This window comes from Homo sapiens, chromosome 11 (assembly GCF_000001405.40).
Source record: "Homo sapiens chromosome 11, GRCh38.p14 Primary Assembly".
Taxonomy (NCBI): Eukaryota; Metazoa; Chordata; class Mammalia; order Primates; family Hominidae; genus Homo; species Homo sapiens.
This window is the reverse complement of record NC_000011.10, coordinates 72,223,543-72,246,533: the sequence shown is the minus strand read 5'-3', so window position 1 is coordinate 72,246,533 and position 22,991 is coordinate 72,223,543. Positions and strand designations below refer to the sequence as shown.

The 22,991-nt window shown below is 59.0% G+C and overlaps 2 protein-coding genes across 17 annotated transcripts, besides 5 other annotated features; one reads left to right on the top strand and one right to left on the bottom strand.

Moving 5' to 3' along the window:
• Positions 2,358 to 7,457, top strand: PHOX2A (paired like homeobox 2A). 4 transcript variants are annotated; one of them, NM_005169.4, is made up of 3 exons: positions 2,358 to 2,746; positions 5,245 to 5,432; positions 6,336 to 7,457. In NM_005169.4, the coding sequence occupies exons 1-3, from the start codon at positions 2,530 to 2,532 to the stop codon at positions 6,783 to 6,785; spliced, it is 855 nt and encodes a 284-aa protein (NP_005160.2). In that variant the 5' UTR covers positions 2,358 to 2,529; the 3' UTR covers positions 6,786 to 7,457. The 4 variants fall into 4 exon arrangements, with proteins under 4 accessions (NP_005160.2, NP_001412026.1, NP_001412025.1 ...); NM_001425097.1 differs by having other exon boundaries at positions 6,312 to 7,457; NM_001425096.1 differs by having other exon boundaries at positions 6,252 to 7,457.
• Positions 6,486 to 6,655: a silencer, noted in NCBI's record as "silent region_3718". NCBI's record gives its function as "represses an Ori minimal core promoter by ATAC-STARR-seq in GM12878 lymphoblastoid cells {active_cell/tissue: GM12878}" and the evidence as "EXISTENCE:reporter gene assay evidence [ECO:0000049][PMID:35858748]".
• On the bottom strand, positions 7,387 to 22,971 carry INPPL1 (inositol polyphosphate phosphatase like 1). 13 transcript variants are annotated; one of them, XM_047426888.1, is made up of 29 exons: positions 22,731 to 22,971; positions 21,368 to 21,754; positions 18,281 to 18,344; positions 18,036 to 18,186; positions 17,687 to 17,807; positions 17,304 to 17,510; positions 16,976 to 17,069; positions 16,782 to 16,871; positions 16,515 to 16,610; positions 16,263 to 16,413; positions 16,066 to 16,172; positions 15,636 to 15,738; positions 15,345 to 15,541; positions 14,919 to 15,036; positions 14,198 to 14,294; positions 13,770 to 13,908; positions 13,560 to 13,659; positions 13,371 to 13,459; positions 13,012 to 13,093; positions 12,790 to 12,879; positions 12,140 to 12,253; positions 11,919 to 12,007; positions 11,331 to 11,418; positions 11,083 to 11,238; positions 10,781 to 10,859; positions 10,548 to 10,688; positions 8,738 to 9,410; positions 8,359 to 8,492; positions 7,387 to 8,271 (listed from the first exon to the last, which is right to left on the bottom strand). In XM_047426888.1, the coding sequence occupies exons 2-29, from the start codon at positions 21,547 to 21,549 to the stop codon at positions 8,181 to 8,183; spliced, it is 3,843 nt and encodes a 1,280-aa protein (XP_047282844.1). In that variant the 5' UTR covers positions 21,550 to 21,754; positions 22,731 to 22,971; the 3' UTR covers positions 7,387 to 8,180. The 13 variants fall into 13 exon arrangements, with proteins under 13 accessions (XP_047282844.1, NP_001427365.1, XP_047282843.1 ...); NM_001440436.1 differs by having other exon boundaries at positions 17,304 to 17,444; XM_047426887.1 differs by lacking the exon at positions 22,731 to 22,971 and adding an exon at positions 22,350 to 22,640.
• Positions 19,517 to 19,876: an enhancer, noted in NCBI's record as "Amplicon_46_11:71615350-71615709 (NCBI36/hg18 genome assembly) insert fragment". NCBI's record gives its function as "drives selective reporter gene expression in differentiated C2C12 myotubes {active_cell/tissue: C2C12}" and the evidence as "EXISTENCE:reporter gene assay evidence [ECO:0000049][PMID:22144875]".
• Positions 21,282 to 21,491: a silencer, noted in NCBI's record as "silent region_3717". NCBI's record gives its function as "represses an Ori minimal core promoter by ATAC-STARR-seq in GM12878 lymphoblastoid cells {active_cell/tissue: GM12878}" and the evidence as "EXISTENCE:reporter gene assay evidence [ECO:0000049][PMID:35858748]".
• Positions 21,502 to 21,861: a silencer, noted in NCBI's record as "silent region_3716". NCBI's record gives its function as "represses an Ori minimal core promoter by ATAC-STARR-seq in GM12878 lymphoblastoid cells {active_cell/tissue: GM12878}" and the evidence as "EXISTENCE:reporter gene assay evidence [ECO:0000049][PMID:35858748]".
• Positions 22,412 to 22,811: a silencer, noted in NCBI's record as "silent region_3715". NCBI's record gives its function as "represses an Ori minimal core promoter by ATAC-STARR-seq in GM12878 lymphoblastoid cells {active_cell/tissue: GM12878}" and the evidence as "EXISTENCE:reporter gene assay evidence [ECO:0000049][PMID:35858748]".

The following is a 22,991-nucleotide window of genomic DNA, read 5'->3' as shown; positions in this document are numbered from 1 at the left end:
GGGAGGATCGCTTGAGCCCAGAAGGTTGAGGCAGCAGTGAGCTATGATCCCACCTCTGCACTGCAGCCTGGGTGACAGAGTAAGAGTATCTCAAAAATAAGTAAGTAAACAGACAAATACTGTATGATTCCACTTATACGAGGTCCCTGGTCAAAATAACAGAGACCAGCCTGGGCAACATAGTGAGACCCCCATCTCTACAGAAGATTTAAAAATTAGCTAGGCATGGTGGTGTGCACGTGTAGTCCCAGCTACTCAGGACGCTGAGGCGGGAGGATCGCCTGAGCCAAGGAATGCAAGACTGCACCATGATCTCGTTGCTGTACTCCAGCCTGAGTGACAGAGTGAAAGACTGTCTGAAAAAAAAAAACACAAAATCATAGGGACAGAAAGAGGAATGGCGGTTTGCAGGTAGGATGGGGAAATGGAAGGTGTTGTTTAACGGGTAGAGTTTTGATTTTACAGGATTCAAAGAGTTATGGAGATGGATGTATTAATACATAAATATGAATGTATTTACTACCACAGAACTATAGCTCAAAGTGGCTAAGATGGTAAATTTTATGTTATGTGTATTTTGCCACAATAAAAACATTTGACAAGAGGTAATTTGAGAAACCTCAAAGAAATCCCCTGGCATGGAGTGGTTCCGGAGATTGGGGATAGAGAGTCCTCCTGGGAAGCCCAGAACGGATGATGGGGGAAGGATTACCTGAGGAGAGGCGCACTCCCCTCTGTCCTGACAAACTTGGGGAGAATTCCAGGAGTCCTTCTATCAACCCCCAAGGACTTCAGCTGGAAACAAAGACACGCCCTTCCCGCGGCTTCTCCATGGGTCTAGGACTCCCCATCTACAAGACCTGCCAAGATCGGTGGAAGAGGCTGGGGGTTGAGTGGACGAGCTGCCCAACCCAGCTCAGGAGCGACGGAAAAGTTATCTGTTCCCTTCTCTTGGTAAGGATTCTGAATGTGTCCCGCTGTCCCACAGCACGAGGGAGCTGGTGACTGAATCTGTGCAGGGATGTCTGGGCCAGGTGCAGACTGAGTCTAGGTGGTTTCCCTGGAGAAAAAAAGCGGGGGGCCCTGGAGAACAGGGGTAAGAGACTGAAGAACAATAAAGAGGTCACGGGGTACGTTCCCTTTCTGACATCCATCGCATCCTGAGCCCAAGGTCACAGGAGAGGGTCGCATACTGCAGATGGAGCTGAGGGAACGGGGGGAGAGGCAGGCGGGCCCTGAAGGTGCAAGGTCGTGTGGGCCTCGGGACAAGTCAGGGTAGAGGGACCTGGCTCCCACGACCCTCCCTCTCCGCAGCCCCGTGGAGGCCGCACCCCAGAGCCTCCAGCATCATCCCTGGGCCCCTCTGCGCTCCAGCCCTCGTGTCTAAGCTCCCCGGAGGCGTTTTCTCTCCGCTCTCAGCCTCTGCTCCCGCGCTTGTGGCTGTCCCTGGCCCTGTCTCTCTCAGACTGTCCCTGGGCATATGTGTCTGTCTCACGATTCCTGCCTCTGTTTTGTCTCATCCCTCCCTTGCTCTCCACCGCAGTCCTGGTTGCCGTCCATGTCTCATCCCGACCCCTTCTGTCTCCATGCCTCCCTCACTCTCTTTCTCGTCCCCCTGTCTCCCTGTCTCCTCTTGTCTCTCTCTTAACCTCATCTCCTGTCTCTGCCCTGTCCCCGCTCCATCCTGTCTCTCTCTTACCCTCATCTCCTGTCTCTGCCCTGTCCCCGCTCCATCCTGTCTTTCGCTGTGTATGTTCCGTCCTTGTCTCCCTCTGTGTACCTGTATCTCTTGTCCCTGTCTCCATCACTGTTTCTGCCCCTTTCTCTCCCGGTCTCTGTTTCCTCTGTCTATCCACGTCCCTTCCCTGTCCCCATCCCAGGCTCCGTCTCTTCCCGGTCTCCATCCCCCTTCCTGGGCCGCCTCCGCAGTCTCCGCCGGGATGGGACCTCGCTGGGGGCGGGGCTGAGGGGCCAGATCGGAATAACTCGGTTATCAGAGCGAATTGAATTAACTTCTTCACACGAGCGCCGCCAGGCCTGCCTCCCCTCCCTTCCGCGGGGCCGCAGGTGGGGAGGCCCGGGAAAAGGGTCGGGACCCTCTGGCCTCGGACGCTGTGTAGAGACCGAAGGTCTGGTCCGGATTGGGGCAGGATAGGGACTCCGGGGATAGGGTCCCGCGCATCCCAGCTCCACACCTCTGAGCCCTAAGACGGCGGCGGGGACCCTTCGGGGTGGGGGTCGGGGCGGCTTTGGGCGGTGTCTGGGCCTCCTAGGCCCCGCCCCTTCGGAGCTCGCCCCGCCCCGCCCCCCTCCGCGGGGTCCTGCGCGTTAAAAGGCGCGCGGGCCGGGCTGGCTGCACTTGCGTTGCACCCGGGCTGAGTGCGGCCGCGACGGGGCGGGCGGACTCTCGGGCGCTCAGAGCTGGCCTCGGGTCCTCGGAGCCTGGCGCTCGAACCTCCCTTCCGACCTCCACCCGGACCCCGACCCCGACCCGGCCTGGCCCGGCCCCCGCCCCCGCCCCCCGGGCCGATGGACTACTCCTACCTCAATTCGTACGACTCGTGCGTGGCGGCCATGGAGGCGTCCGCCTACGGCGACTTTGGCGCCTGCAGCCAGCCCGGCGGCTTCCAATACAGCCCCCTGCGGCCCGCTTTCCCCGCGGCAGGGCCGCCCTGCCCCGCGCTCGGCTCCTCCAACTGCGCACTTGGCGCCCTACGCGACCACCAGCCCGCGCCCTACTCGGCAGGTGAGCGCAGCCCCGGCCCAACCCTCCCTCCAATTCCTGCAGAATCCCTGGGCCCGCTCGCCAAGTGAATGCGACTGTCCCCCTCAGCCGCCCCCATTCCTGCCTTGGCCAGACCCTCCAATGCCCCGAGAGACCCCCAGAATACGAGGTTCTCCTCCGCAGGAATGAGCCTCACCCTCTCATCTCTCCTGTTCCTTTTTCTCGTTGCCAAATCTCTGTCTCGTGCCCTTCAGGTCAAGGAAATATATCCCCATCCAGCTCTGGGCCCCTTACCAGGCCTTCCCCTCACCACCTGCAAAGACTGACCACTAAACCTCTACAAGCGCTGGATCTTTGAAAAAGGCTCCCAGCCCAGCCCTATCACCACTTATCACCCCACCCCATCACCGCTGCCCCACGAGATGCATGACCCCCAGCAAGGACCTCTCCAGGCAGCTGAGCTGCCCAGACGGGAAGCTTCCTAGAGCTCGCGTGGCCATCAGGCCCCTCCTGCCCTGTCTTGGACCCACGCTGCCTGGGACCGAACCCTTCTGTAGCCACCAAAACCAGATCCCGTAGCCCGCAATAAAGGGGCCCGGGTTTTTAAGCCACTTGTATTTCCCCATTCCCCCAGACTCTCCCAGCTAGAGTTCTGTAGAACCCGGAAGCAGCTCCTGCATCCCCAAGACTTTAGATCCAAGTCCCTGTCCAAACCCTCAACCTCACTGAGCTTCTCAGTCATCTCAGCCCTCTGATTAGAGTCCCAGCCTGCCCTATGTAATCTTATCGCCTTCCCTCCTGGGAAGACTGCCGGGGACCCAAGTAGAAGACTGGGGCCTAAGGGCCAGGCGCGGTGGCTCATGCCTGTAATCCCAGCACTTTGGGAGGCCAAGGCGGGTGGATCACTTGAGGTCAAGAGTTCAAGACCAGCCTAACCAACATGGTGAAACCCCATCTCCATTAAAAATACAAAAAAAAAAAAAAATTAGCTGGGCATGGTGGCCCACGCCTGTAATCCCAGCTACTTGGGAGTCTGAGGCAGGAGAATCGCTTGAACCTGGGAGGCAGAGGTTGCAGTGAGCTGAGACTGTGCCATTGCATTCCAGCCTGGGTGACAGAATGAGACTCGGTCTCAAAAAAAAAAGAAGAAGAAGAAGAAGAAGACTGGGCCCTAGGCTGGGGTTTGGGGAAGAGATACGAGAAATGAGAACCTGGATTTGGAGAAATGAGGCCCAGGGTGGGGAGATTGGGTACCCTGAGCCAGATGAGGGTAGGGATTGGGAAGAGGGGAGACAGCCTCCAGAGATACAGGGTTTTGAGACCAGAGAGATGGGGATAAGGTACAGAGAGATGGGAGCAGAGATGGAAGCACTGGAAATCCTAGGAGAAATGGGGACTCAGGGTTGGGGAGATAGAGATAAGTATCAGGCGATGGGGACCAAAGAAGATTAGAAATAGAGATGACGAAGATAAGAATACAAATGGGGTGCTGGAGACAAGAATCAGGGGAGATGGAGGCCTGGATGGGACAAAGATGAGATTGGAGACCCCTGGTGAATATGAAGACTTAAACCAGGGTTACAGACAGGGAAGGGAAGTACTGTCAGAAACACTACCTATGGGGCAGTGGAGACTGGGATGGGTATAGGAAGAGAGTTGGGGGGCAGTGTTGGCTTTGGAGGAGATGGGACATGGAGAAGGTGCCTGGGGAGGAAGAAGGAGGGCAAAGAGAAGATGGAGGAAGTCTTCTCAATGGGCGCAAAGAGAAGATGGAGGAAGTCTTCTCAATGGGCACAAAGAGAAGAGTGGCTGAGAAATGGAAAGTTGAAGAGAGATTCAAATGGAGGAAGATTAGGAAGAGGAGAGGGGGACATCTAGGGGAGAATGGGGGTCAGGGGAGTGGGGCAGAATTGAAGAAATGAGGCTTGGGAAGGGGAGAGGTGGATGGGTGGAGGGAGCCAAATCTGTATACAGCTGAGAGCCGGTGGGAAGGCTGGTGGTAGGGCTGAAAGGAGGGCCGGTGGGAGGGTCTCTGTTGCAGAGCCTTGGCCCAGAACTGGTTAGTGGGAAGACTGGCAATGCTGATGAGACCTGACAGACATCCAGGGCCAGGGTAGACAGAGGGGACAGACGGGCTGAGAGACAGACAGGAGGGAAGGGTCGGAGGCACGGTTGAATGGGGGTGCAGGGGGAGATGGAGGGAACAGGGCTTGGGAGGAGGGCGACGACGGGGGTGGGGTGGGGGAGGGAGTGTCTTGGCTGGAGTATTGGATTATGCTTTCCCCTTGGCCGCTCTTGGGGCTCAGGTCTCCCTGATCTCCCTCCGCCTTTATCCCGCCGGCTCCATTGAGTAATAGGGAGGACGCTCGGCCCCAGGCTGCCGGGACCAAGACGAGGGATCAGGCCAGGGACGGGGGAGGCGTGTGATTCCCCCGGAGCTGGACACAACGGGTTGAACTCTGCTTCTCACTCCCCCATCCTTTTTGCCCCCCCCCCGGCCCCCCTGCACACACCCGCAGTGCCCTACAAGTTCTTCCCAGAGCCATCCGGCCTGCACGAGAAGCGCAAGCAGCGGCGCATCCGCACCACGTTCACCAGCGCGCAGCTCAAGGAGCTGGAGCGCGTTTTCGCTGAGACCCACTACCCCGACATTTACACGCGTGAGGAGCTGGCGCTCAAGATCGACCTCACTGAGGCTCGCGTGCAGGTGCGTGTATGCACGTGTGTGTACGAGAGTGCGCATGGAAGGAGGTGTGGGAGCTTAATGTCTAACACCTGGGGGTAGGGGAATACAGGCAGATGCAGCCCGAAGGCAGGGCGCGGTCCCAGGGTGCTTGGGCAGCTACGGGAGGCAGCAGGGCCCGGACTTGGAGGCCCTTGGGAGACCCGATCTGTTTAGCTCCAGGCTACCTCCGCTCTGTCTCCCTCTTAGGGCAGAAAGTTCCGAGTGATGCTTGAGAAGCCAGGAGGGAGGCCGAGGGGCTAGAGGGGGAGACCCAGGGGACCTCAGGGCCGAGCTGAGGAGGAGAGGGGGCAGGCCAGTCAGCACCCCTGGGGTTCCCTACCCCGGCGCTGCAGCTTTGAAAACCCGGAGCCCGGGAGGCTGAGTTTGTGGCAGGCACAGGGCCGAAGAGAGCCGGGCTAGAGCAGACTGTTGTCTATTTGTACAACTCCGTGTACAGATGTTCAGTTGGCCCGCCTTGACTGGATGCCCTAGACAAAAGGTTTACTGGCGCCCTAAACTGCTCTCCACGGCCCTGGAACACTCCAGGAGGGAAGTCCCAGAGCTTCCTAAAAGAAGGAATTGGGGGAAGAACTTAGAGTGAGGAGAACGAAGGCAGGGTCCCCTCCGGGAGACCAAGAGTGCTGGGAGGCAGCAGAGTCAGCGGGTGAGTGGATCCCAAGGGCAAGAACCCAGGGATCTGGAGGCAGGGGCCAGTGGAGCGCGGAGTGCAGCGGGCTGCGTGCGGAGGGCCGAAGGCCCCTCCAACTAGTAAGAACCCGGGCCCGGTTCTTTCCGAACCAGGATCTCACTCGAGCCTTGCGGCCGCGGGCTGACCCCGTGCGTTCTCCGACCCTCGTCCAGGCTGACTGGCCCCTGTGCCCGCAGGTCTGGTTCCAGAACCGCCGGGCCAAGTTCCGCAAACAGGAGCGCGCGGCCAGCGCCAAGGGCGCGGCGGGCGCGGCGGGCGCCAAAAAGGGCGAGGCGCGCTGCTCCTCCGAGGACGACGATTCCAAGGAGTCCACGTGCAGCCCCACGCCCGATAGCACCGCCTCGCTGCCGCCGCCGCCTGCGCCCGGCCTGGCCAGCCCGCGCCTGAGCCCCAGCCCGCTGCCCGTCGCACTGGGCTCCGGGCCGGGACCTGGGCCGGGGCCACAGCCGCTCAAGGGCGCACTGTGGGCCGGTGTGGCGGGCGGTGGGGGCGGCGGGCCTGGCGCGGGAGCGGCCGAACTACTTAAGGCTTGGCAGCCGGCGGAGTCCGGCCCCGGGCCCTTCTCCGGGGTTCTGTCCTCCTTTCACCGGAAGCCCGGCCCCGCCCTGAAGACCAATCTCTTCTAGCTGCCGGCCTCTGGAGGCTCCGAGCCTGCCCCCAGAGACGTCCCTGCCCCTCCAGGACCTGACAGCCCCTCCCATCCTGGCCACCCGCCTGGAAGTCCCCATCCGTCTCCACTCCCTACTGTCTCACCCCTCGGTGTGTCCTCCCCAACTTTGGAGACCAAGTCAGGGCCACTCTCGTCCTCACCCACCCTCTACCAGCAGAGCGGAGTTCTTTATACCGGGACCTCCTCCAGGAGAACCCCGGAGCTCCTTCTAGCTTGGCCTTCTTTGGATGCGGTATCACATGAGGCCTGTCCCTAACAGTGCCCTCAAAGTGAAGGTCCTCAAGGAGGATCGGCACAGCCCCCTTCCCTGGCTCTGCAGCGGCTGGGTCACCCCTTACGCTGGTGATCAGGAAAGCCCGCTGCCCCACCCCTCGGGCCCACCCGTACAGAGGCTGGTGGTCGCCGGGATAATTAATGACCACCGCCAATTCATCCCTCACGTGTCTCCTCTCTTCCCTAGCCCGTCTGGCACAGAGGGTGGACCTGTTAGAGGAGTGGAGGGGCTGCCTGGGGAATGGGACAGAGGGATTCTCTTTCCCTAATTTTTTTGGTTGTCCTTTTTCTTTGAAAAACTTGTAATTTATTGAAGTTTTACTCAATCCAAATAAAACTTAATTTATTGAAGACATCACGCCGCAACCCTTACGACTGCCCAGGAGGCTGCTTGCAAGACCCTGTCCCGGGCTGAGACCTGCGAGGAACCTCCCTCCCCCACCCTGCCGCCGTGCATCCCCAGAGCAGGGCAGCACAGACCAGGAGACAGTGAGAACTAAGCAAACTGGCACTTTATGGCTGAGATCCTGCCCCACCCCAACCAACCCCAATAATATTAAGGTGCTCTCCCTCCCCAGACCCACACAGAACAGTTTAAATAAACCCCAGCCCGGTCCTCGGGCTATTCCTTCATTTCCGGACGGACACCCGCCCCCACCCCCAGCGGGGGTGGGGAGGTCTTAGCGGAGCTCCTCCGCTGTGGTTCAGGCCCGGTGGAAGGCCGCAGAAACTGGTGAAAGTGGGGGCCCAGACGTACCCAAATGGACCCCCACAGGCACCCCTGGGGCTGGGAGGCGGGGTCCAGTAAAACAGGACAGCACCAGAGTAACCAGGGTCCTCGGTAACCATGGCAACTGACCTTCCGTCCTGAGCCTAAAAGGCGAGGGGCAGGATGCCCTAATTAGGGCATTGCAAATGATTGGGCAGCGGGGAATGCAGATCCCCAATAAATAGGCACCCCAATAAATAGGCAGAGAGATACTGCCCTGACCCTCATAACTTTTCAACCCTGGGGCCATAGCTGGGCCTTGGTAGCAGGGAGGGGCTCTGAGTTCACAGCTTCGTGGTGCCTCCGCTATCACTTGCTGAGCTGCAGGGTGTCCAGAAGGAGGCGCTTGTGAGCCGGGTCCTGCACCCCAGCCTCCTCCAAGTCCTCCTCGGTGATGTCACTGTGGAGTAAAACAGGCTGGGAAGTGAGATGGGCAAGGGGATCCTGAGGGCCCCAGCTCCGCCCCCGGGGCCAGCCCCTCCCCCACCTGAGAAACTCCAGGTCGTCCCAGCCATTATGCACCAGGCCCTCCTCATAGCGCTCCAAGCCGATGGCCCGCAGCCAGGCACTCATGCCTGCCTCGCCCAGCCCGCTGGCCCGCCCGCCCTGCAGGCACGGAGCCTAAGGAAACAGGGCATGTCAGGGGGAGCTGAGTGCCCCCCATAGAAACACCTGCAGTCACATTCTGCTGCATGCTCTGGGGAAAAGGAAGGGAAGGGCTGGGCTGATACATGTGTCTCCCAACTTCCCAGTGATCAGTTCAGGGTAGCAGGGACACCATGAGTGCTGAATGGTGGAGTGAAAGGGTACCAGTCTGTGGGCAAGCACACTCAGGCACACACAGACAGCCACCCTGCTCCACACACCTCCTCTGCCAGGTCTTCCTGGATGCTCTCCCGGATGCGGGGTGGAGGGAAGCTGAGGGGCCGGCCATAGTCCGAGGGCAGTCCCCGGGGGGGCTGCAGCTCCAGGGGGCCTGGGAGGAGCGCTGAGCGTGCAGGCCCAGCAGGGGCATAGTCCACCTCGCTCAGCGTCTTGGCCATCTGCAGCACCGAGCAGGACCGGTCATCCCCACTGGCCACTTCCCCCAGGAAAGTGCTGGCTGGTGAGGGGCCTGGGGGCAGTGGAGGCCTTGGATGGGCCTTGGGAGGTGGTGGGCCACGGGCCTCAGCCCCACCACGGCCCCGGACCACTGGCCCTGGTAAAGGATCCAGGCTGGGGGGCAGGAAGATGGCTGAGTCCGGCAGTGGTGGAGGTGGAAAGTCTGGAGGGGGCAGTGTGCCTCCAGACTCCTCATCTGAAGAACTCCCCTCTCCCACACGAGGGTGCCGGTGGTGCCCAAGCTGTGGAGCAGGCACTGTAATGGCCACTTTGTTCTTGGTGGCAGATGGGACAGGGGCCCTGGCAGGCGAGGGTGGCTCCGGGGGCAGCAGCTGGTGCGGGACCCCTTCAAGGACGTAGTAGGCAGGGTTATTGAAGCTGTTCTTGGGTGGGGGGGCCGCCACCCCTTCTGGTTCAGGAGCTCCCTCTGGCTTCAACCTGGGTGTGGAAGCAGAACGACTAAGCCAGGATCCAGGAACCCAGGTCTAAGGCAGTGGAAGCAGTGGAAGGAGAACTAGACGGGAGTCAGAAAGTCCCCTGGTCCTAGACTTTCTCATGACCTTGAGCACATCACCTGCCCTTAGTTTCTTCATCTCTAAAGGTCAGAGGGAGGATAACCCTTTGAATGGATAACCCTACAATCCCTTGCCTCACTTGCTAAGATACTTAGATCTTTCATGACTTTATCTGTAGCTGTGAAACCCAAGCTAAATGGGTCAGAATAGAGGTGCCAGAAGACAGGGCAAGAAGCCTCCAATGAGAGGCCAGGTTTGGAAAGCCTCTTGAGGCACCCACAGTCAATCCGCTGCAGAATCTTTCTCAGAGATTCAGGTGGGTCTTATTCAAGCCTAGGGATAAAACCGGGGTGACTGACAACAGCTGAAGATGAGTGAAAAAGCACCAAACTGTACCTAGGAGTTTATGTAAGTTTAAGCAACAATCGGATATAATTAGAAAGCAAGCCTCACTTTCCCAAAGTGTGACACAGAGCACTAATTCCCCAGAACGTTAATAGTTACTACATGGAAAATAAGTTTCCTGGCCCATTAAGTTTGGGAAACTATATTAAACAGAGCTGAAAAGAGGTTTCCTTCCTGTCCACATGCTCAGAGCTTTTGCTAATACTAACATGCACTGGGAATGTCTAAGAAAAGAATCTAGAAAAAGCATTTCCCAAACTCATTTGACCACAAACCCATTTCAACTGGGGCCTCTTGCAGGACAGAGTTCCAAAGAAGGTACCCTGGGAAATCCCAGGCCGAGCCATGTGCCTCCTCCAAATAGAAGGCTCAAGCTAGGTCTGTTTACATGGAGGGAGCTGTCTTAGAAACAATTTCGCATTCCATTTTTAAAGGCAGAATTGAGAGGAAAGGCTGACTGCTCCCTTTGACTCAGAGCCACAGCTAAGGGTGGCCTGGCTGGCCACAGGCATAAGGCCATGGCAGCTCCAACCACAGAGTGGCAGGGCACCTAAGCAGCTGATGATCTCCAGGCCAACCCTGAGACCCTGCAGGGGATAGTGATGGATAGAGGTGGGTGGGGGAAGGGGGGGCGGTGACAGGTTCCTCCTCTCACCTGGGGGTCAAGGGCTCCTCCCGGGGAGCTGCTCGGGGTGGGGCTGGGGGCCTCCCCGTTGGTGGCGGTTTCTCTGGTTCTTCAAATAACCTGGAGAGCGGGCAGGAGGCCTCTGTGAAGGCTGGCTTGCGGCTCCCTGACCTGCCAGGGATGCACAGGAGAGAGATGAAGTGGGGTTGACCAGATGCCCCCAGGTACCCTTTCATATGACATTCAACACAGCCCTAGCTCACCTGGGCTCCTGGCTCCCTCGGGACACAGAGGGGGCTTTGCTCTTTGCTCCTGCCTCATCCTTATCAATGCTGATCCACTCTGAGGGGGCAGGAAGGGAGACTCAGAGGAGACCTGGGCTCCTGGATCCCACAGACACCCAGTGGGCCTGCCAGCCCTTTCCCAGCTATGCCTTGGGGCAGGACTATTCCCAGCTGTGGCTGCAGAACCTCCAGGTATCCCAGAGATTCCAACATGCCCCCCGCACCCTGCCCTCCTTGATCTGTTCACACCACCCTATCTCATGTCCCAGTGGAGTCCCCACCGTAGAGCCGCTCACGGGTGCCCAGGCGCTCCGTGGGCACCCGCACCTTCATGGAGCCTCTGATATTGCCTGTCTCCTCGCCACGGTGGGATAGGAAGGTCAGGAACTGTTGGGCCGTGCTGCCGATCATGGATTTGAGTGCAACCACACACTCCCCTGAGGAGCAGATGGGACAAACCAGCAAATTACCAAGCTAATCTAGGGCCCTGTCTGGCTTCCTGTTCCCCTCAGCACCCCTCACCCCTCACCATAGGATTCATAGCCATCCATGGACTTGACTGTGAGCAGGAGGTGCTGGTCCTGCAGGTACTCGATATCAGCCAGAATTGGTTTGAGCTGGGAAGCAGGGAGGCCCAGTGAGGAACAAAGCCCCGCCACTTCCTCCTGCCCCTCCTACGCGCTGCCCCCTGACACCACTCAATCCCCACCCTCAGGTCATCTGTGCTCACTCACACTCAACTCTTCAGAGAAGAGCCAAATCCTTAATGCAGAAGACACAGCCCTATACAGGCCTTTTACAGCACCTAGCATCACTGTAACTAATTAATTTTCTCAATAGCTAACACAGGACCTGACATCTAGCAAAAGCTCAAGAAGCATCTCCTGAATGAATGAACAAACTGCAACAAGGTTCCACACTCCCAAAATAAAGCAAACGCCTTTATCCTCACTCATGCCCATGCCCATACACACACACACACACACACACACACACACACTCTCTCTCTCTCTCTCTGCTGGCCCCACACTCCCTCCCAGGCAGGCTCTCCAATAAACTCTTATGTACCCCTCTCTGTGCCCTCACCCATAAGCAGGGGCCCTGCCCACAGCCTCACCGTGGGCAGCTGGCGTGAAGACCACTGCACTTTGAGGAAGTTGATGTTGTCACTGCTCTGGGCATCATTCTCAAAGCTCTTCTTGTATTCTGGGGTGGGGGTGGGAGACACCCAACTGAGCACCACCTCTCAGCTTCCTTTCCCCCTAAGTAGGGGGCTGACTGCACCCTCTTGCCTCCCATCCTCCTTGGCCCACACCCAGCCCCTGCCACGCCTCTGACCCTCCAGGCAGGTAGAGTAGAACTCGATGAAGAACTTGGTGCGGCTGGCTGTCTTCACAATGGCCTCGATGCTCTCAAACTCAATGTAGGCCTGGTCTGAAGTCTTTGAGAGCCCTGAGGAGAAAGGGAGGAGAACAAACAGGAGGACTGAGAGGATCACAGGAGGAATGGGACAGAGAAACAGGGCCCTGGGACAGGAAATCAGGGGTCCAGAGCAAGGAGGCAGGGCCAGGAGGGGCCTCCCCAGTCCCAAGCCACCAACAGGGAATCTCCAGAGGCCAGACCCTGGACCAGAGCAAAGAGACAACCCAAGGATAAAAAACCCATTGAAGAGGGTGCTGGGGACCAGAATGCCTGCAGGATTCCCACACCTACAGGCATACTCAGGGACACACACGTGGCCCTAGACAGACACAGACACATAGATAGGTGTACACTCACGTATGCACACACACTCATGGGCACACAACTCTTGTGATGGCCCAGGCGCACAGACACCCTGACACATCACACCTTGAGAAACACTCCTGCACTCACTGGTACACACACCCACACACACACTTACATAGTCAAACCTATGTACATCCCGAGGCCACCACCTGTGCCCACCTAGATTATGCCACACCCACAAGCATATCTGGAACAGTCACCTTTCTTGGAGATGAACTGGGAGGTAACTCCAACCTCAAATGTCCCAAACACGGGGGAATGGTCGCTGGTGACGATGTCATCAGTGCAACCTGGGGAGAGGGGATAGGAATGGGGACTCAGGGGGAATATTCCCACCCTCGGCTCCCACCTCCCAAGGTTAGGGCAGAGTCCAGATGGTGACCACCCCAGATCTCCCATCACTCTGTCCGGGAGGCTCTGACCATAAGAATTGCAGATGATGTGAGTTTCAGGGTAGGATTTCCACAGAATCCGGTCACACCATGAGGGCACATTGGTCCGGACCTGGGGCAGGGGATGGCAGCATGGTTAGAGCTGACAGCTAGGAGGCTGCTTGGCATGGACCCCACTCCAGAGCTGATGAGTCCCCACACTTCTATTACTAGAGGCCCTAGCACCCACCTCCCTTCTTGGATCCTCAAAATACCCAGGATCACCCAAAGGCCTCAGAGGGGCCATGGAGGCTGGAGTGGAAGCTGCAGAGGCCCATACCCTTGACCCAAATTCTTGATTCATCGCAGGCCTGCGGTCCCCCAAGGCCCATGCCGTTTTCTTGGCTCACCCCAGTTGGCTTCTGCTTGTGCCAGGCATATGTGTCCCGGGAACCCCGCTCATAGCGGTAGGTGGGTGGGAAGGAGATCTCCTCCTCACCTAAGGAAAGCAGGAGACAGGTGGGGTTCAGGGCCCTGACACCCAGGGATACTGCAAGTCTCCTAGCCCTCAGATCACCACCTACCAGGCCCACACTCACTGAATCGAAGGAAGACCTTGTGCTTCTCCCGCTCCAGGTTGAGCTGGTCCACCCTGAGGAGGGGCTCAAACTCTTTCCTGCTGATGTAGTTCAGGATCTCCTGGGGTGGAGGACACAAAGGCTAGAAACATTCCTCCGGAGCCAGAGCCAGGGGTGATAGCCCATGTGGCCCTTAGCCTCCCTACAGCCATGGCAGGGCCCTGCTCGCACCTGGATATCCATGTCCAGGCGGTAGTTGAGGTCCCCAAACCAGAAGAGGTGTGTGAAACGCAGAGAGATGTCAAAGGCATTGAGCTGCCGGTCGCCCAGCGAGAGCAGCCGCAGGATGTCCAAGTAGTTTTGGTTCCTCCTAGGGTGAGGGGTGCGTGGTGGGGAGGGGTAGATCCCCAGGGTCAGGGCCAGAAGTCAGGGATAGGCATAAAGGGAAGAAGTCTCAGGAGTCAGGGATGGGGTAAAGATCCGGGCCCCTGGGGACAAGGTTAGGGTCAGGAACAGAAGGGTCTTGAATTGGGATAAGAGAGCAGGGGGTCTCTGGAGACAGGCCTGCGGGAGGGTCATGGGCTAGGGTATGGGAGCGGGAACAGGCCTCAGGTGAATGGGATGGGTGTAAAGAGACCATGGGAAAGGCGCCCCCTCACCGAGCCGTCTTCTCATTTCCCGAGGTGAGGTGACAATTCACAAAGCCAAATGAGGTGCCATTAAACATGAAGGAGACGCCCACAGCCCCCTTGTTCCCTGTTAAGGCAAGCAAGAGAGGAAGGCCTGGGTCATCCTCAGAGGGCTCCCAACTCTCCCTTCTGCCTCTCAAAGCTGCAGTGAGAGGATCCTCCCGCTGAGCCCACCAGACGCTGTGACATGGGCAGGCCCCTGCACACACCCACACCTTCCCTGGGGGAGGGGGGGGTCCTCATTGGGCACACATGGTCTGTGTGGATGGCCTGAGTCTGTCTGTATGTGTGAGCAGAGCCCCTGGAGATCACAGGGGACCCCAAGGGTGAAGCTGAAAGGCCCTGCAGATTCTGCGCAGAATCTACCTGGGAGAGCACCAGACCGAAAATCAGGAGACCTGGGCACAATGCCTGGCTCCACCACTTACTTGCTGTGTGACCTTGGGCAGGTCACTCAACCACTCTGGGTTTGAGTTTTATCATCTGTGAAAAGGGGGTAATTATCCTGGCCTTGCCTTCCCAGTGGTGCTGGGAGAGATTTAGAATATGAATATGTTTTTCAAAGTTCAAAGTACCCTATATATGGGGAAACTAAGATCACCAAAAATGGGGCAATCCTAGGCTTGAGAGGAAGCAGAAGCCATGGACAGAGAGACGCTGCCACTCTTGGGCACCTGCCAGCCCCACTTACCCAGGGTGTTGGCGATGCCAGTCTTCACACTGGACGTACTGACATGGCTGATACGGTTCTCGTGCTCTGGCTTGACCAGCACTGCCACCTTGATATTCCACAGTGATTGCATGGCAATCTGGGTAGAGAGTGCATGGTCACCACTGCCCTGCTGCACCCACTGCCTGCATTTCCCCCTGCACTATAAATAGACTTTTGTGTCCATCACAGGGTAGGAAGGCTTGCCACCCCTCTTCCTGACGGACTGGAGAGAAATGGTTCCTCTCGTGGCATGAAGGACTCAGGTCAGATCTCCCAAAGGATATGCTCAGGGACCAGAGAAAAAGCCAGTGAAGCTGTGCTCCCAGGGTTGCCCATGAAGTCAAGTAGGCTAGTTTGGAGGTGGTGTGTGAGGACAGGGTCCTGGACAAGATGACCCCCCCTCACCGGGCGGTAATCCAGATCCGTAAGCTCCTTGAGGCCCCCGCGCAGTAGGTCCAGCCACTCGCGGTCGCCCACTGAGTTCTCCTGGGTCCCAAAGACATAGATGTCATGGGGTATGGTCACTGTGACCTCGTCCAGGGTCTTCCCCAGACCCTTCGATGTGAACCAGGATGTCACGTTTTTTGGAGGTGGTACACTTCCTGGAGGTGAAGGGGGTGAGGTGGGTCTGGAGGGGTTAGGCACCTGCTCTGGGGCCATCCCTCTCTCCCGCCCCAGCCCCAGCCCGGGCCTGACCCATGTTCCAGGTGCCTATGAAGACTGAGATCATGTCGGGCTCGTCCTGCTTGGAGTGCTTGTTCTTCATGAGCTGCAACAGCTGGCAGAAGGCCTCCCGCTTCTGGGGGAACAGCAGCCACTCAGGGGCGGGTAGGCATCCAGGAAGCCCCCCGTCCACAGGGATACCCTGCCAGTTGGCTCATGTCCATGAGGAGAGGGTCTGTCTGGTTCTCCACTGCATACCCACTGCTCAAGCATATAACAGTGCTGGCAAATGTTATCCACCCTCAGGCCACCCGTTCTCAACACCCTCTACCCTGTCAGACCTACCCCTGCCAGGAGGGATGGCATGCCTACATCATGTGTTCCCTTTCTTACCCTCCAATGGGAAGCACCCATGTGGGGGACCCCCGCAGTCCCCAGTGGCCTGGCCCAGCCTGCTGCTCACCCGGGCACTGACAAAGATGAAGTCCTTGCGCTGAGTCCGGTCCTTCTCCTTCTCAAACACAACACCCAGCTTGTTCTGGACACGCTGGGACTTAATGAGCTGGCGGACTAGGGCATGGAGGACCGGTCACATGGGCCTGTGCCCCTAGGCCAGGGGCTCCGCCCTGCCCACCCCTCCCAGGTCTGGCCCTGGCTCACTGCGGTCGTGCGTGAAGGTGGTCCAGTCCTCCTGGGAGTCCCGCTGTCTCCGCAGCAGCACCAGCCGCCCACCCTCCACATCCACGCTCAGCGTGAACTTCTGTGACTTCCCAATCTTGGTCAGGTCACCCAGGGTCACATCTAGCTTCACCTGTAGGCCAGGTGGGGAGGCTGCTGACAAGACCTTGGAGTAGGCAGCACCCTGGTCACCTCCAACCACCCTTGGCCCTGTGAGGCCCCACTGCCATGTACCTCAAAGGCCTGCACGGGGATGGTCTTGGCCTTACGTGTGGATGGCTGCGGAGCTGGGGGTGCTGTGGAGCTCATGTCCTGTAGGGCCTTCAGGGCCTGGAGGGAACAAGGGCAGGGCGGGGTCAGGGGACACACTGAAGGCTGGGGCAGGGAGGGACACAATTGACCTTGGGGCCAATGTTAAGTTGTAGACTGAGGGTTGAGATCAGTGCTAGGCCAATGACAGTGGCCAGTGAATCGGGGGTCAAGGGTCAGAGATCATGCCACCTTCTTCTGGATGCCTGACAGGAAGTCCTTTAGCACTGACAGCTTCAGCACCAGGCTCTCTAGTTCCTGCTCCCCTGTCTGTGGCAGGTTCTGGGGGGAGGAAGAACCAGGCTTGTACATGAGTCACCTAAGCAGAGCCTCCCACCCAGCTCCAGAACACGAACGCACCTCCCAGAGGTCTCCCTACAATCTACCTGCTGCTGCAAAAGGCGGGTCACCATGGGCGAGCTCTGCTGGTCAAACACCTTGGACAGGATCTCCAGGCCTGACAGGACCTTGTCCACCTCACTAGGGAAGACATCAGATCAAAAGAACTCCCACCCCGACCTAAGTATAGGGAAGGGGGCGCTGGGTGTAGCCTCAACCTCACCACAAGGATAAAGGCTACCAGTGAGGAAAGTCAAGAGGCAATGGCTAGTTCACTGTTCAGGATCAGAGATCAGGGCACCTGTGCAGCCGGGAAGCAGGTGAGGACAGGTCAGAGGTAAGGGTGTAATACATGGGGCTGGATGTCCCAGATACCTGTGCAGCCTCCGGCATGAGGTAGCGAGGGTACGGGTGAGGTGGGGCAGGTGGCTGGCTCCACCCCTCACAGCTTCCAGGTCCAGCCCATAGCTGCCTTTCAGGTAGTCGTGCGAGACGGTGCTCAGCCCATTGGGAGCACTTTGGGGAGGGGTTAAGAAGTCAGTGGAGGTCCTGCTGACCTGTCCCAGCACCTCTGCCCCATCCCTAGAGGAGATAGTACCTGTGGCAACCAGGGCGGGATGGATCAGGTTATCTGCCTCTGGGCTGAGGTGGGGTGGGGGTCCCTGGTGGGGTCTTAGAAGGCCTCCCCACCTTTGGTAGGGAAATAGTTCTCAGAGGAGAAAGGGTCTCCTGTTCAGTGGATGGGATGGGGGTCTCACCTCTCAGCAGCTGGAGCTGTGGGAGTCTCAGGAGCTGGCAGGGGACTGCTGGGCCCAGTGGGGGCAGAAATGCTGGTGGAGCCAGAGCGCGGGGGCAGCGGGGGCTTCTCATCCTCCCCATCTGTGGGCAGGGGTCAGTGGGCAGCCGTTTGGGCCTCCCACACTCAGTGGAGTAGGAGGCACGATGCAGCTGTAAAGTGACTTCCATGGAAAGAGGGTTAAAGGGCCCCGGCATCATGGCCAAGGGAAAGGGGGTTACAGGAGAGGTGGGGTTGAGAAGGGGGGATGGGAAGAGGCAGGTAGAGCCAAGGGACAGGGGCAGGGAGGGGACCTGCACACTGGGAAGTACCTGAGGCATCCCGGTCATCCGGTGGGTCCGGCTCTCGCTCACCCTCTACAGGAAGAAGCAGGGCGCACACAAGGCCCTGGTTGGGCTGGGCGTACAGGCCGATGAGCTCACCCAGGGTCTGGAAGCGGCGCACAGGCACACCCTGCGAGGTCTGTGGGCCAGCAAGGGTGGGAGGAAGGGTCAGCCAGCAGGTCCCCAAGCCCTAGGCTGGATCAAGGTCAGGGGTCAGGGGCCCAAGCTCCTACCTGCACAGCCAAGAAATCTTCTCCATCAGGCAGAATGCGATACGTGTGCACATGCTTCTGATACCTGATGCCAAGGCAGGGCCAGAATCTGTCACCCCCAGGCTGGGGTCTAAGACCCAAAGCACCCCTTCCTCCTGCCAGCAAGCTCAGCACCCCAACCCCCTCAGCTTGGTTTCCCTAAAACCACCTGCCCAGGCTGCACAGGGTTAATGATGTGGCCGGTCCACTTCCACCCTCCTGGTGTTGCCTATTGGGCAGGAATGACCAGAACACCCCCGTCTCCCCACCAGACCTACACAGACTCCACACCCACCACAGGGCAGGGCCTGAGAAGCAACAGGGAGCTCTTTTGTGGCCTCCACAGCTGTCTAAACAGCCCCTCTGGGCTGTGGTACCAGTCTGGGCTCCCCGCCAGAGTAAGAGTCTTCAGAAGCCTGGTTAGCCCATTTGCACACACGGGCAACGTGCTAACACGTGTGTATGCCTCCTGTGTTTATGCTGCTCTCTGGCTCTGCTGGAGTCGGGTATGTCTAGGGCACTTGTGCCGAGGAGTGTGGGGGCATCACCCTAGGCCTTCCCACCAAAGAGGGCCCCCATGGGAGACCTGGGCCTCTAGGAGCCCCAAGCCAAGGAGGGGCAAGAGGGGTGCTGACAGACAGGAGCCGCAGTTGAGCAGGTGGCAGCTGAGCCAGGTGCACAATCAGCGGGGGATGGAAGATCCTCTGCCTCCGCACCTCAGGGCATGCTTCCCCAAGGAGTCACCCAGGAGTCACCCTAGGTGACTCTCCTGGCTGCTTATGCTGGGTGAGTGTCTGTCACCAGGTGTTCCTTTGTAGACTATTACAAACACTATCTGTGTTTATTACAATAGCATACCATTAACTGAATCCTATCTGTGACACGCTGGGTACCCAGTGTCCTATAAATCTTACTTAATTCTCACACTTCTAAACAGATATTATTATCCCCATTCTCCAGCTGAGGAAACAGGCTCAAAGAATAAAAGTGATTTTCCTAAGGCCACAGAGTAAGTAAAAGGTGGAGTTGGGATTTTAAACCATGGCAGAAGCCAGGGCCAGTATCCTAGCTTGCTGGTCAGATTGCCTGTGCCTGCTGGGGCAGGGGCGTGTCTTGCATGTTATCCATGAACACCCGGAATGTATACAGGTAAGCAAGTATGTGTGTATTTGGCAAATCTAAGATATTGCCCACGTCTGATCGCCCACGTCTGATCCTTACCCCCAGGCTCTTGAGATGCGGGGAAGAGCCAGAGTCAGCTGGCAAACCTGAAGCCCCCACTCACAGACAGACCCCTCACCCCATTCACAGCCTCCCTTGGCAATGAGGCCAGGATTCTCCCCCTCCTGGGACAATAATGTTCCTCACCCAGACACAGGCCCCAGCTGTCCCCCTCCCACTCAACAGCTGACCCAGCACCTGCCTCCCTCCCCAGCCTAATTAGGGGGTATGCCTCAGAGGGGGCTGGGAAGCAGGACTTGGGGATATTCATCTGCCTAGTCTGTCCCTCCTTAGTCTCCCCCTACTGGGCCTCAGACTTGAGGCCTAAGCTAAGACTTATAGGGCCCCTTCCTTGTTGGGTCAATTGCCTAGGCTAGAGTTTTTCAACCTCCATACCACTGACATTTTGGATTGCACAGTTCTTTGTTGTGGGGGACTCTCTTGTGCACTGTAGAATGTTTAGCAGTATCCCCGGCTTCTACCCACTAGATGTCAATAGCACCATCCCAGTTGTGACAATTAAAAATGTCTCCCCAGCTGGGCGAGGTGGCTCCACCTGTAATCCTAGCACTTTGAGAGGCCGGGGCAGGTGGATCACTTGAGGTCAGGAGTTCAAGACCAGCCTGGCCAATATGGTGAAACCCCATCTCTACTAAAAATACAAAAATTAGCTGGGCTTGGTGGCGAGCGCCTGTAATCCCAGCTACTGGCGAGGCAGAGGCAGAAGAATCACTTGAATCCAGGAGGCGGAGGTTGCAGTGAGCCGAGATTGCACTACTGCACTCCAGCCTGGGCAACAGAGCGAGACTCTTTCTCAAAAAAAAAAAAAAAAAAAAAGGTCTCCCCTGGTCTAGGCTAATGTGCGCCCCGACCAAAGATGTCAGGAGAACAAAGGGGTAAGGAAGGTACAGTGGGACAGGAGTTTGGGAGGGGGTTCACAGAGCTAAGAAAGATCTAAATAAAGATCTAAATAACTGATCTAAATAAAGCAGCCCCCACAGATTCCCACTCACTGGGCCCACAGAAGCCAACTCAATGTCAGACTGCAGGGCAGGAGGTACAAAGCCGCTAGAAGGCTGCAAAACCAAGAGTGCTAACTCACCCCAGCACCACTACCAACCACACTGGGCTGAAAGGCACAGCCACAGGACCTGGCCCACTCAGAGAAGCACCAAGTCTGGCTCTGCTCTCACTCAGCACTCATAGCTCAGGGCTAGGGCAGCCAGGTAACCAGGGCTCAAGCCCAGAGCCAGGGCTCAAACACTCACTCATTGGTTCAGAAATAATGGCAAGGTCCCATACAGCCTCAGCCTCTGCTTCCCCAAGCCTTCCTCTCTACACCACCCATCACCGCCCCCACCACCCATACACGGCCAGGCAGAACCCCAAAGCACCGAAAGGGGCCCTAAGGAAGCTGCCAGGCATCCCCACACACCCCGTCAGTCCCTCTGCCCCGACTCCCTCTCCTGCTCACCACTCAGTCCCTATCCAAACGGGACTGCACACAACGTGGAATGCACATCCTCTCCCCTGCTCCCTTCTACCTGGAGGATGCCTGAAGGGGTCTGCCGGGGAATGCCCGAATTTTTCGTCATCACAGTCACACTGGGCCACAGAACCCCATATTCTCTACCCTCAAGGCTCCTGAAAGTGCCCCCAGACACACAGCAGGAAGTGCCCCTGCGTCCCTCCTCAGACCCAGGAGAAAGCCAAGGCTCCCACTCTGGGGGGTGGAGGCGGGTCTGGCGTCCCACCGCCCCAGAAACCCTCACCCGGGCCCTTTCCACACCCGGCCGTGCCCGCGCTCCCGGTCCACGCCAGCCCGCAAGGAGCCCCCGCCCCACTCACAGGACGCAGAGCGCGAAGGCCCCCGCCACGCTCTCGCTGTCTCGGACCAGGAAGCTGCCATCGCGGCCCGCCCGGGCCAGCAGCTCCTCCGCGGCCGCCCGGCTCAGGTCGCGGTGGTACCAGGAGGGGGCCTGGCTGCCCAGGGCGCCCCCCGGGCCCGGCGCCCCGCAGGCCGAGGCCATGGCCCGCGCAGGGCTCAGCACCGCCCGCCCCCGCCGCCCCGCGCCATCCGCCCCGAGACGCTCAGGGCTGAGGCTGGGGCCGGGCCCGGGGCCCGGGCTTGAGGATCCGTGGGCCGGACAGAGCCGGGGATCGGGACTCAGCACTCCGCCGCGCAGGCCGCCTCGTTCACCGCGCAGCCGCCGCTGCCTGCAGCGCCGGCCTCAACTTGAAGAGAAAGAAAAGTTTGTTCAGAGGCGGCGGGGGAGGGGCAGGAGCGGAGCGCAGGGCCGGCTGCCGCCCCCTCCCCCTCCGCTCGGCCCGCAGCCCGGGCCGCCCCTGCCCCCAGCTCCTCCTGCGGGGACGGTGCCCCCACCTTCCCGAAGGGCCCGGGACCTCCCAGACCCCACAATGATCCTGCCCCCATCATTCACCCGAGGAGATCCAGTCCCCAAATCCCCATCGAAATCCGAGTCCCCCCATCCTGGCCCCGACACTTCGGGATCCAGGCACCCCCTGGAGAATTCAGCGCTTCTCAGTTCTCCCAATGATATGACCCCTAAGCCCCATAAAGGTCTGATTCCACTCCATGGCTCTTCCTCTCGTCCCCCTTACAGCTTGGCTGCATCGAGTTCCCCAAACCTGCGAAGGATCCAGGACCACCCCCTACCCATCCTCTTCCCTCCACCCAAGCGGGCGGGGCCCCCAACTCCTGCGAAATGCAGCCCCCTCTTAGATCTGAACCCCCAACTCCACGGGAACCGTCCCCCGGCAAAGCCTGCGGGGAGATTCCCTGGCTAACCAGGCTTCTGAAGATTCTTACTCTGGCGGGGGGCCCAGACGAGGTGCGACGTTCTCGAGCCTCTCACGCAGCCCCTCCCAGCCCCGCAGAGCCCTTCCCCCTCTCGGCCAAGTTCCCCAGCACCACCCCCCACACCCGCAGGCCGGGCCTTGAGGGGGTTCAGCAGTCCGAAGCCAGGAGGATCCCTGGCCCGTCTAGTAGAAAGTTCCCTCCCGGGATCCCGGCCGCCGCACGCAGACCCCCACCTCCCGGGCTGCTCCGGCGCCCCCTTCCCCGGACAGCGGCCCTGGGCTCCAGGCGGCCACTTAAGATGGCCATCCGCGCGCGCCCCCGCCCTCCGCGCCGCCCGCCCCGCCCCGCGCCGCCCCGGGGAGCCGGGGGCAGCACCGCGCCTCGCCTCACCCCGCCCCGCGCCTCGGTCCCGGAGCCGCTGGCCCACTGGGTGACCTCGGGCAAGTCGCGGCGCGGGGTTGAGCGTCGGCTTCCCGCTCTGGAAAATGGGGATCCTGTGGCGAGGGCCGGCTCTGGGGGCCGAGCTCGTACCGCGCTCGGCACCGGGCCTGGCGCCCAGCCCGCGCTCCCGAACGGCGGCTATTTTTATTATTAATTAAGGAGAAACGAAGGTGACAGCTGTGTAAACTGTAAAGCGCGGCTGCGGAACGA

Excerpts from the sequence above, each read along its gene's own strand:
- INPPL1 (XM_047426888.1), bottom strand. The coding sequence starts at position 21,549 with ATGGCCTCGGCCTGCGGGGCGCCGGGCCCGGGGGGCGCCCTGGGCAGC. Across the intron at positions 15,542-15,635 it reads CATAGGCACCTGGAACATGG|GAAGTGTACCACCTCCAAAA; the intron begins GTCAGGCCCGGG and ends CTTCACCTCCAG. Across the intron at positions 13,460-13,559 it reads CAAGGTCTTCCTTCGATTCA|GTGAGGAGGAGATCTCCTTC; the intron begins GTGAGTGTGGGC and ends TGCTTTCCTTAG.
- PHOX2A (NM_001425096.1), top strand. The coding sequence starts at position 2,530 with ATGGACTACTCCTACCTCAATTCGTACGACTCGTGCGTGGCGGCCATG. Across the intron at positions 2,747-5,244 it reads GCCCGCGCCCTACTCGGCAG|TGCCCTACAAGTTCTTCCCA; the intron begins GTGAGCGCAGCC and ends ACACACCCGCAG. Across the intron at positions 5,433-6,251 it reads TCACTGAGGCTCGCGTGCAG|GATCTCACTCGAGCCTTGCG; the intron begins GTGCGTGTATGC and ends TTTCCGAACCAG.